Consider the following 11,984-nt stretch of genomic DNA (forward strand, 5'->3'; position numbering starts at 1 on the left):
AGTAAATATTTTTTTCTATGCTAAGAGACAAAACGTTATGCCATTCATCCTAAAAATTTTTTCAGAAGGTGCTATGGTTTTACTTTTTTAAAAATTTTTATTTTTAGTTCTGGGGTACATGTGTAGGATGCACAGGTTTGTTACATAGGTAAACATGTGCCATGGTGGTTTGCTGCACCTATCAACCCATCACTTAGGCATTAAGCCCAGCATGCATTAGCTATTTTACCTAATGCTTTTGCTCACCCCACCTCACCCCCGATAGGCCCCAGTGTATGTTGTTCCCCTCCCTGTGTCCATGTGTTCTCATTATTCAGCTCCCACTTATAAATGAGAACATGTGGTGTTTGGTTTTCTGTTCCTGCATTTATTTGCTGAGGATAATGGCTTCCAGTTCCATCCATGTTCCTGTAAAGGACATGATCTCATTCCTTTTTATGGCTGCACTGTATTCCATCATGTATACATACCACATTTTGTTTATCCAGTCTATCATTGATGGGCATTGTGGTTGCTTCAATGTCTTTGCTATTGTGAATAGTGTTGTAATGACCATACACATGCATGTATCTTTGTAACAGAATAATTCATATTACTTTGGGTATATATCCAGTAATGGGATTGCTGGGTTGAATGGCATTTCTGCTTCCAGATCGTTGAGGAATCACCACACAGTTTTCCACAAAGGTAGAACTAATCAACATTCCCACTAACAGTGTAAAACTACATCTTGAGTTCATTTATAACGTGTGAGGAAGGGGTCCAGTTTTTATTTTTTTTAATTTCTCCACAACCTCACCAGCATCTGTTGTTTCCTGACTTTTTAATAACTGCCATTCTGACTGGCATGAGATGGTGTCTCATTGTAGTTTATTTGCATTTCTCTAACGATCGGTGATGTTGAGCTTTTTTCACATGTTTTTTGGCTGCATGAATGTCTTCTTTTGAGAAGTGTCTGTTCATGTCCTTTGCCAACTTTTTTTAAATTAATTAATTTATTTATTTATTATTATTATACTTTAAGTTTTAGGCTACATGTGCACAATGTGCAGGTTAGTAACATATGTATACATGTGCCATGCTGGTGCACTGCACCCACTAACTCGTCATCTAGCATTAGGTATATCTCCCAATGCTATCCCTCCGCCCCCTACCCACAACCCACAACAGTCCCCAGAGTGTGATGTTCCCCTTCCTGTGTCCATGTGTTCTCATTGTTCAATTCCCACCTATGAGTGAGAATATGCGGTGTTTGGTTTTTTGTTCTTGCGATAGTTTACTGAGAATGATTATTTCCAATTTCATCCATGTCCCTACAAAGGACATAAACTCATCTTATTTTATGTCTGCATAGTATTCCATGGTGTATATGTGCCACATTTTCTTAATCCAGTCTATCATTGTTGGACATTTGGGTTGGTTCCAAGTCTTTGCTATTGTGAATAATGCCGCAATAAACATACGTGTGCATGTGTCTTTATAGTAGTATGATTTATAGCCCTTTGGGTGTATACCCAGTAATGGGATGGCTGGGTCAAATGGCATTTCTAGTTCTAGATCCCTGAGGAATCGCCACACTGACTTCCACAATGGTTGACCTAGTTTACAGTCCCACCAACAGTGTAAAAGTGTTCCTATTTCTCCATATCCTCTCCAGCACCTGTTGTTTCCTGACATTTTAATGATTGCCATTCTAACTGGTGTGAGATGGTATCTCATTGTGGTTTTGACTTGCATTTCTCTGATGGCCAGTGACGCTGAGCATTTTTTCATGTGTTTTTGGCTGCATAAATGTCTTCTTTTGAGAAGTGTCTGTTTATGTCCTTTGCCCACTTTTTGATGGGTTTTTTTGTTTTTTTCTTGTAAATTTGTTTGAGTTCATTGTAGATTCTGGATATTAGCCCTTTGTCAGATGAGTAGGTTGCAAAAATTTTCTCCCATTTTGTAGGTTGCCCGTTCACTCTGATGGTAGTTTCTTTTGCTGTGCAGAAGCTCTTTAGTTTAATTAGATCCCATTTGTCAATTTTGCCTTTTGTTGCCATTGCTTTTGGTGTTTTAGACATGAAGTCCTTGCCTATGCCTATGTCCTGAATGGTAATGCCTAGGTTTTCTTCTATGGTTTTTATGGTTTTAGGTCTAACGTTTAAGTCTTTAATCCATCTTGAATTGATTTTTATATAAGGTGTAAGGAGGGATCCAGTTTCAGCTTTCTACATATGGCTAGCTAGTTTTCCCAGCACCATTTATTAAATAGGGAATCCTTTCCCCATTGCTTGTTTTTGTCAGGTTTGTCAAAGATCAGATAGTTGTAGATATGCGGCATTATTTCTGAGGGCTCTGTTCTGTTCCATTGATCTATATCTCTGTTTTGGTACCAGTACCATGCTGTTTTGGTTACTGTAGCCTTGTAGTATAGTTTGAAGTCAGGTAGCGTGATACCTCCAGCTTTGTTCTTTTGGCTTAGGATTGACTTGGCGATGCGGGCTCTTTTTTGGTTCCATATAAACTTTAAGGTAGTTTTTTCCAATTCTGTGAAGAAAGTCATTGGTAGCTTGATGGGGATGGCATTGAATCTGTAAATTACCTTGGGCAGTATGGCCATTTTCACGATATTGATTCTTCCTACCCATGAGCATGGAATGTTCTTCCATTTGTTTGTATCCTCTTTTATTTCCTTGAGCAGTGGTTTATCGTTCTCCTCGAAGAGGTCCTTCACATCCCTTGTAAGTTGGATTCCTAGGTATTTTATTCTCTTTGAAGCAATTGTGAATGGGAGTTCACTCATGATTTGGCTCTCTGTTTGTCTGTTGTTGGTGTATAAGAATGCTTGTGATTTTTGTACATTGATTTTGTATCCTGAGACTTTGCTGAAGTTGCTTATCAGCTTAAGGAGATTTTGGGCTGAGATGATGGGGTTTTCTAGATGTACAATCATGTAGTCTACAAACAGGGACAATTTGACTTCCTCTTTTCCTAATTGAATACCCTTTATTTCCTTCTCCTGCCTAATTGCCCTGGCCAGAACTTCCAACACTATGTTGAATAGGAGTGGTGAGAGAGGGCATTCCTGTCTTGTGCCAGTTTTCAAAGGGAATGCTTCCAGTTTTTGCCCATTCAGTATGATATTGGCTGTGGGTTTGTCATAGATAGCTCTTATTATTTTGAAATACGTCCCATCAATACCTAATTTATTGAGAGTTTTTAGCATGAAGGGTTGTTGAATTTTGTTAAAGGCCTTTTCTGCATCTATTGAGATAATCATGTGGTTTTCATCTTTGGTTCTGTTAATATGCTGGATTAGTTTTATTCATTTGCGTATATTGAACCAGCCTTGCATCCCAGGGATGAAGCCCACTTGATCATGGTGGATAAGCTTTTTGATGTGCTGCTGGATTTCGTTTGCCAGTATTTTATTGAGGATTTTTGCATCAATGTTCATCAAGGATATTGGTCTAAAATTCTCTTTTTTGGTTGTGTCTCTGCCAGGCTTTGGTATCAGGATGATGCTGGCCTCATAAAATGAGTTAGGGAGGATTCCCTCTTTTTCTATTGATTGGAATAGTTTCAGAAGGAATGGTACCCGTTCCTCCTTGTACCTCTGGTAGAATTCGGCTGTGAATCCATCTGGTCCTGGACTCTTTTTGGTTGGTAAGCTATTGATTATTGCCACAATTTCAGGTCCTGTTATTGGTCTATTCAGAGATTCAACTTCTTCCTGGTTTTGTCTTGGGAGGGTGTATGCGTCGAGGAATTTATCCATTTCTTCTAGATTTTCTAGTTTATTTGCATAGAGGTGTTTGTAGTATTCTCTGATGGCAGTTTGTATTTCTGTGGGATCAGTGGTGACATCCCCTTTATCATTTTTTATTGCGTCTATTTGATTCTTTTCTCTTTTTTTCTTTGTTAGTCTTGCTAGCAGTCTATGAATTTTGTTGATCCTTTCAAAAAACCAGCTCCTGGATTCATTAATTTTTTGAAGGGTTTTTTGTGTCTCTATTTCCTTCAGTTCTGCTCTGATTTTAGTTATTTCTTACCTTCTGCTAGCTTTTGAATGTGTTTGCTCTTGCTTTTCTAGTTCTTTTAATTGTGATGTTAGGGTGTCAATTTTGGATCTTTCCTGCTTTCTCTGTGGGCCTTTAGTGCTATAAATTTCCCTCTACACACTGCTTTGAATACGTCCCAGAGATTCTGTTATGTTGTGTCTTTGTTCTCGTTGGTTTCAAAGAACATCTTTATTTCTGCATTCATTTCATTATGTACCCAGTAGTCATTCAGGAGCAGGCTGTTCAGTTTCCATGTAGTTGAGTGGTTTTGAGTGAGATTCTTAATCCTGACTTCTAGTTTGATTGCACTGTGGTCTGAGAGATAGTTTGTTCTAATTTCTGTTCTTTTACATTTGCTGAGGAGAGCTTTACTTCCAAGTATGTGGTCAATTTTGGAATAGGTGTGGTGTGGTGCTGATAAAAATGTATATTCTGTTGATTTGGGGTGGAGAGGTCTGTAGATGTCTACTAGGTCTGCTTGGTGCAGAGCTGAGTTCAATTCCTGGGTATCTTTGTTGACTTTCTGTCTCGTTGATCTGTCTAATGTTGACAGTGGGGTGTTAAAGTCTCCCATTATTAATGTGTGGGAGTCTAAGTCTCTTTGTAGGTCACTCAGGACTTGCTTTATGAATCTGGGTGCTCCTGTATTGGGTGCATATACATTTAGGATTGTTAGCTCTTCTTGTTGAATTGATCCCTTTACCATTATGTAATGGCCTTCTTTGTCTCTTGATCTTTGTGGGTTTAAAGTCTGTTTTATCGGAGACTAGGATTGCAACCCCTGCCTTTTTTTGTTTTCCATTTGCTTGGTAGATCTTCCTCCATCCTTTTATTTTGAGCCTATGTGTGTCTCTGCACATGAGATGGGTTTCCTGAATATAGCACACTGATGCGTCTTGACTCTTTATCCAATTTGCCAGTCTGTGTCTTTTAATTGGAGCATGTAGTCCATTTACATTTAAAGCTAATATTGTTATGTGTGAATTTGATCCTGTCATTATGATGTTAGCTGGTTATTTTGCTCGTTAGTTGATGCAGTTTCTTCCTAGCCTCGATGGTCTTTACATTTTGGCATGATTTTGCAGCGGCTGGTACCGGTTGTTCCTTTCCATGTTTAGCGCTTCCTTCAGGACCTCTTGTAGGGCAGGCCTGGTGGTGACAAAATCTCTCAGCATTTGCTTGTCTGTAAAGTTTTTTATTTCTCCTTCACTTATGAAGCTTAGTTTGGCTGGATATGAAATTCTGGGTTGAAAATTCTTTTCTTTAAGAATGTTGAATATTGGCCCCCACTCTCTTGTAGCTTGTAGAGTTTCTGCTGAGAGATCTGCTGTTAGTGTGATGGGCTTCCCTTTGAGGGTAACCTGACCTTTCTCTCTGGCTGCTCTTAACATTTTTTCCTTCATTTCAACTTTGGTGAGTCTGACAATTATGTGTCTTGGAGTTGCTTTTCTCGAGGAGTATCTTTGTGGCGTTCTCTGTATTTCCTGAATCTGAATGTTGGCCTGCCTTGCTAGATTGGGGAAGTTCTCCTGGATAATATCCTGCAGAGTGTTTTCCAACTTGGTTCCATTCTCCCCGTCACTTTCAGGTACACCAATCAGACGTAGATTTGGTCTTTTCACATAGTCCCATATTTCTTGCTGGCTTTGCTCATTTCTTTTTATTCTTTTTTCTCTGAACTTCCCTTCTCACTTCATTATTTCATTCATTTCATCTTCCATCACTGATACCCTTTCTTCCAGTTGATCGCATCAGCTCCTGAGGCTTCTGCATTCTTCATGTAGTTCTCAAGCCTTGGTTTTCAGCTGCATCAGCTCCTTTAAGCACTTCTCTGTATTAGTTATTCTAGTTATACATTCTTCTAAGTTTTTTTCAAAGTTTTCAACTTCTTTGCCTTTGGTTTGAAAGTCCTCCTGTAGCTCGAAGTAATTTGATCTTCTGAAGCCTTCTTCTCTCAGCTTGTCAGTCATTCTCCGTCCTGCTTTGTTCCGTTGCTGGTGAGGAACTGCGTTCCTTTGGAGGAGGAGAGGTGCTCTGCTTTTTAGAGTTTCCAGTTTTTCTGTTCTGTTTTTTCCCCATCTTTGTGGTTTTATGTACTTTTGGTCTTTGATGATGGTGATGTACAGATGGGTTTTTGGTGTGGATGTCCTTTATGTTTGTTAGTTTTCCTTCTAACAGACAGGACCCTCAGCTGCAGGTCTGTTGGAGTACCTGGCCGTGTGAGGTGTCAGTCTGCCCCTGCTAGGGGGTGCCTCCCTGTTAGCTGCTCGAGGGTCAGGGGTCAGGGACCCACTTGAGGAGGCAGTCTGCCCATTCTCACATCTCCAGCTGCGTGCTGGGAGAACCACTGCTCTCTTCAAAGCTGTCAGACAGGGACACTTAAGTCTGCAGAAGTTACTGCTGTCTTTTTGTTTGTCTGTGCCCTTCCCCCAGAGGTGGAGCCTACAGAGGCAGGCAGGCCTCCTTGAGCTGTGGTGGGCTCCACCCAGTTGGAGCTTCCTGGCTGCTTTGTTTACCTAAGCAAGCCTGGTCAATGGTGGGCGCCCCTCCCCCAGCCTCGCTATCGCCTTGCAGTTTGATCCCAGACTGCTGTGCTAGCAATCAGTGAGACTCCGTGGGCGTAGGACCCTCCGAGCCAGGTGCTGGACACAATCTCCTCGTGCGCCGTTTTTAAGCCCATCGGAAAAGCGCAGTATTCGGGTGGGAGTGACCCGATCTTCCAGGTGCCATCTGTCACCCCTTTCTTTGACTAGGAAAGGGAACTCCCTGACCCCCTGCGCTTCCCGAGTGAGGCAATGCCTCGCCCTGCTTCGGCTCACGCACGGTGCGTGCACCCACTGACCTGGGCCCACTGTCTGGCACTGCCTAGTGAGATGAACCCGGTACCTCAGATGGAAATGCAGAAATCACCCGTCTTCTGCGTCGCTTATGCTGGGTGCTGTAGACCAGAGCTGTTCCTATTCGGCCATCTTGGCTCCTCTGATCCTTTGCCAACTTTTTAATGGTGTTGTTTTTTTCTTGTTAATTTTTTTGAGTTCCTTGTAGGTTCTGGATATTAGACCTTTGTCAGATAGATAGATTGCAAAAATTTTCTCTCACTCTGTAGGTTGCATGTTCACTCTGGTGATAGTTTCTTTTGCTGTGCAGAATCTTTTTAGTTTAATTAGATTCCATTTGTCAATTTTGGCTTTTGTTGCAATTGCTTTTGGTGATTTCATCATGAAATCTGCCTGTGGTTATGTTCTGAATGGTATTTCCTAGACTTTCTTCTAGAGTTTATATAGTTTTGTGTTTTACATTTAAATCTTTAATCCATCTTGAGTTAATTTATAACATGTGAGGAATGGGTCCAGTTTCAGTTTTCTGCATATGGCTAGCCGGTTCTCCCAGCGCCATTTATTAAGTAGGGAATACTTTCCCCATTGCTTGTTTTTGTCAGGTTTGTCAAAGATCAGATGTGCGGTAGATATGCGGTCTTATGTCTGAGTTATCCGTTCTGTTCCGTTGGTCCATGTGTCTGTTTTTGTACCAGTACTATGCTGTTTTGGTTACTGTAGCCTTATAGTATAGCTTGAAGTCTGGTAGCATGATACCTCCAGCTTTGTTCTTCTTACTTAGAATTTTTTTTGGTTATATGAGCCCATTTTTTGTTTCTTATGAATTTTAATATAGTTTTTTCTAACTCTGTGAAGAATGTCAGTGGTAGCTCAATGGAAATAGCACTGAATCTATAAATTACGTTGAACAGTATGGCCATTTTCATGATATTGATTCTTTTTATCCACAAACATGGAATATTTTTCCTTTTGTTTGTGTTCTCTCTGGTTTCCTTGAGCAGTGGTTTGTAGCTCTCTTTGAAGAGGTCTTTCTCTTTCCTTGTTGGCTGTGTTCCTAGGTATTTTATTCTCTTTGTAGCAATTGTGAATGGGAGTTTATTCATTATTTGGCTCTCTGCTTGCCTGTTGTTGGTGTATGGGAATGCTCTGCACATTGATTTTGTATCCTGAGATTTTGCTTAAGTTGCTTATCAGCTTAAGAAGCTTTCGGGCTGAGATGAGGGGTTTTCTAGATATAGGTTCATGTCATCTGCAAACAAAGACAATTTGACTTTCTCTCTTCCTATTTGAATACACCTTCTTTCTTTCTCTTGCCTAATTTCTCTGGCCAGAACTTCCAATACTATGTTGAACAGGAGTGATGAGAGAGGGCATCCTTTTCTTGTGCTGGTTTTCAAGGGAAATGCTTCCAGTTTTGCCCATTGTGTATGATATTGGCTGTGGTTTTATCATAAATGGCTCTTTTTATTTTGAGTTATGTTCCTTTAATACCTAGTTTATCATGAGTTTTTAACATGAAGGTATGTTGAATTTTATTGAGGGCCTTTTCTATATCTATTGAGATCATCATGTGGTTTTTGTCTTTAGATCTGTTTGTGTGATTAATTACATTATTGATTTGCATATGTTGAACCAGCCTTGCATCCTGGGAATGAAGCCAACTTGATCATGGTGGATAAGATTTTTGATGTGCTGCTGTATTCAGTTTGCCAGTATTTTATTGAGATTGTTTGCATCAATGTTCATCAGGGATATTGGCCTGAAGTTTTCTTTTATTGTTGTATCTGTGCTGCTAGGATTTTGGTATCAGGGTGATGCTGGCCTCATAGAATAAGTTAGGGAGGAGTCCCTCCTTTTCAATTGTTTGTAGTAGTTTCAGAATAAAAAATTGTATCAAATCCTCTTCATATTTCTGGTAGAATTCAGCTGTAAATCAATCTGGTCCTGGGATTTTTTTGGTTGGTAAGCTATTTATTACTGCTTCAATTTCAGAACTTGTTATGGGTCTATGCAGGGATTCAATTTCTTCCTGGTTCAATGTTGGGAGGTTGTATGTGTCTGGGAATTTATCCATTTCTTCTAGATTTTCTAGTTTATTTGCGTAGAGATGTTTATAATATTCTCTGATGGTTGTTTGTATTTCTGTGGGGTTAGTGGTGATACCCCTTTATCGTTTTTTATCGTGTCTATTTGATTCTTCTCTCTTCTACTTTGTTAGTCTAGCTAGTGGTCTATTTTATTATTTTTTTCAAAAAACCAGCTCCTGAATTGATCGATATTTTGAAGGGGTTTTCATGTCTCTATCACCTTCAGTTCCACTCTGATCTTGATTATTTCTTGTCTTCTGCTAGCTTTGGGGTTTGTTTGCTCTTGGTTCTCTAGTTCTTTTATAGAGTGTCAATTTAAGATCTTTCTAGTTTTTTGATGTGGGCATTTAATGCTATAAATTTCCCTCTTAACACTGCTTTAGCTGTGTCCCAGAGATGCTGGTACATTGTATCTTTGTTCTCATTGGTTTAAAAGAACTTCTTGATTTCTGTCTTAATTTCATATTTACCCAGGAGTCATTCAGAAGCAGGCTGTTCAATTTCCATGTAGTTGTGTTGTTTTGAGTGAATTTTTAAATCTTGAGTTATAATTTGATTGTGATGTGGTCTGAGAGACTGTTTGTTACAATTTCACTTCTTTTGCATTTGCCAAGGAGTGTTTTACTTCCAATTATGTAATCAGTTTTAGAGTAAGTGTCATGTGGCACCAAGAAGAATGTATATTCTGTTGTTTTGGGTGGGAGTTCTGTAGATATCTGTCGGGTATACTTGATCCAGAGCTGAGTTCAAGTCCTGAATATCTTTGCTAATTTTCTGTCTCGATGATCTGCCTCATACTGACAGTGGGGTGCCAGAGTTTCCCACTATTATTGTGTAGGAGTCTAAGTCTCCTTGTAGGTCTCTAAGAACTTGTTTTACATATCTGGGTGCTCCTGTATTGGGTGCATATATATTTAGGATAGTTAGCTCTTCTAGTTGAATTGACCCCTTTACCATTATGTAATGCCCTTCTTTTTTTTTTTTTTTTTTAATCTTTTTTGATTTAAAATCTGTTTTGTCAGGAATTAGGATTGCAACCCCAGCTTTTTTCTGTTTTCCATTTGCTTGGTAAATTTTCCTCCATCTTTTTATGTTGAGTCTATGTGTGCCTTTCCATGTGAGATGGGTTTCTTAAATACAGCACATTGATGGATTTTGACTCTTTTTCTAGCCTGCAGCTCTACGTCTTTTAATTTGGGTATTTAGCTTATTTACATTTCAGTTTAACATTGTTATGTGCGAATTTGATTCTGACATCATGATGCTAGTTGGTTATTTTGCAGACTTGTTTATGTATTTGCTTCATAGTGTCATTGGTCTGTGTACTCAGTATGTTTTATTGTAGTGGCTGGTAATGGTTTTTCATTTCCATATTTAGTGCTTCCTTCAGGAGCTCTTGCAAGGCAGGCCTGGTGGTAATAAATTCCCTCAGCATTTGCTTGTCTTAAAAAGATCTTATTCCTTCTTCATTTATGAAGTTTAGTTTGGCCAGATATGAAATTCTACATTGGAAATTCTTTTTTTAAAGGATGTTGAATATTGGCCTCCAATGTCTTCTGGCTTGTAGTGTTTCTGCTAAGAGGTCTGCTGTTAGTCTGAAGGGTTTCCCTTTATTGGTGATGTGGCCCTTCTCTCTGGCTTCCCTTTAACATTTTTTCCTCCATTTTGACCTTGGAGGATCTGATGATTGTGTGTCTTGGGGTTGATCTTCTCATGGGGTATCTTACTGGGGTTCTCTGGATTCCCTGGATTTAAATGTTGATCTGTCTTGCTAGGTTGAGGAAGTTCTCCTGGATGATATTCTGAAGTGTGTTTTATAACTGGGTTCCATTCTCCCCATCTCTTTCAGGTACCCCATCTGTCGTAGGTTCAGTCTTTTTACATGATCCCATAGTTCTCAAAGCTTTTGTTGGTTCCTTTTCATTCTTTTTTCTCCAATCTTGTCTGCCTGTCTTATTTCATCAAGATAGTCTTCAAGCTCTGATATCCTTTCTTCTGCTTAGTCTATTCAGCTATTAACACTTGTGTTTGCATTATAAAGTTCCTTTGTTGTGTTTTTCATCTCTATCAGATCTTTTATGTTCCTCTCTAAACTGGTTCTTCTGATTAACAGCACCTCTAATATTTTATCATGGCTCTTAGCTTTTTTGCAGTGAGTTAGAACATAATCCTTTAGCTCAGTGGAGTTCATTATTACCCATCTTCTAAAGCCTACTTCTGTCAATTCATCCATCTCAGCCTCAGCCCAGTTTTGTGCCCTTGCTGTAGACATGTTGCAATCAATTGGAGGAGAAGAGACACTCTGGATTTAGAGTTCTCAGCATTTTGTGTTGATTTTTTTCTCATCTTCATGGGTTTATCTACTTTTGATCTTTGAGGCTGCTGACTTTTGGATGACATTTTTGTAGGGTCTTTTTCTTTGATGTTTATGTTGTTGCTTTCTGTTTGTTTTTCTTTTAGCAGTCAGGCCCCTCTTCTGTAGAGCTGCTGAGGTTTGCTGGGGGTCCACTCCTGACCCTATTCTGCTGGGTCTCTCCCACCCCTGGAGATATCACTAGTGGAGTCTGCAGAGCAGCAAAAAGAGCAGACTGCTCCTTCCTCTCAGAGCTCTGTCCTGGAGGAGCACAGACCTGGTGCCAGCCAGAACACCCCTCTATGCAGTGCCTGGAGACTCCTGTTGGGAGGTCTCATTCAGTCATGAGGACCAGAATTAGGGACCCACTTAAATAAGCAGTCTGGCTGCTCCTTGGCTGAGCAGGTGTGCTGCACTGGGGGAAATCTCCTCATCTGGGCTCCTCTGACTCTCCAGTACCAAGAGGCAGAAAAGACTAAGATTGCTGATCCATGATGTCACAGCTGCCCCTCCGCCTATGGCGAGTTTCTACATCTTTATGCTTGGGACCCAAGGCTATGGTGGAGTGGGCTCAGGAGGGGACTTCCTGATCCATGGGTTGAAAGGATCCACGGGAAAAGCATGATTTCAGGGAGGGGAAGCACAATCCTTCACCGTCTCCATT

General features: G+C 40.1%; 2 annotated features.

The window, feature by feature from the left end:
* Window positions 6,164-6,725: an enhancer, noted in NCBI's record as "NANOG-H3K27ac-H3K4me1 hESC enhancer chr5:119762069-119762630 (GRCh37/hg19 assembly coordinates)". NCBI's record gives its function as "activates a minimal SCP1, AML or CMV promoter by ChIP-STARR-seq in naive and primed H9 embryonic stem cells {active_cell/tissue: H9 hESC(naive and primed)}" and the evidence as "EXISTENCE:reporter gene assay evidence [ECO:0000049][PMID:30033119]".
* Window positions 6,726-7,285: an enhancer, noted in NCBI's record as "NANOG-H3K27ac-H3K4me1 hESC enhancer chr5:119762631-119763190 (GRCh37/hg19 assembly coordinates)". NCBI's record gives its function as "activates a minimal SCP1, AML or CMV promoter by ChIP-STARR-seq in primed H9 embryonic stem cells {active_cell/tissue: H9 hESC(primed)}" and the evidence as "EXISTENCE:reporter gene assay evidence [ECO:0000049][PMID:30033119]".

Source organism: Homo sapiens, chromosome 5 (genome assembly GCF_000001405.40).
Source record: "Homo sapiens chromosome 5, GRCh38.p14 Primary Assembly".
NCBI lineage: Eukaryota > Metazoa > Chordata > Mammalia > Primates > Hominidae > Homo > Homo sapiens.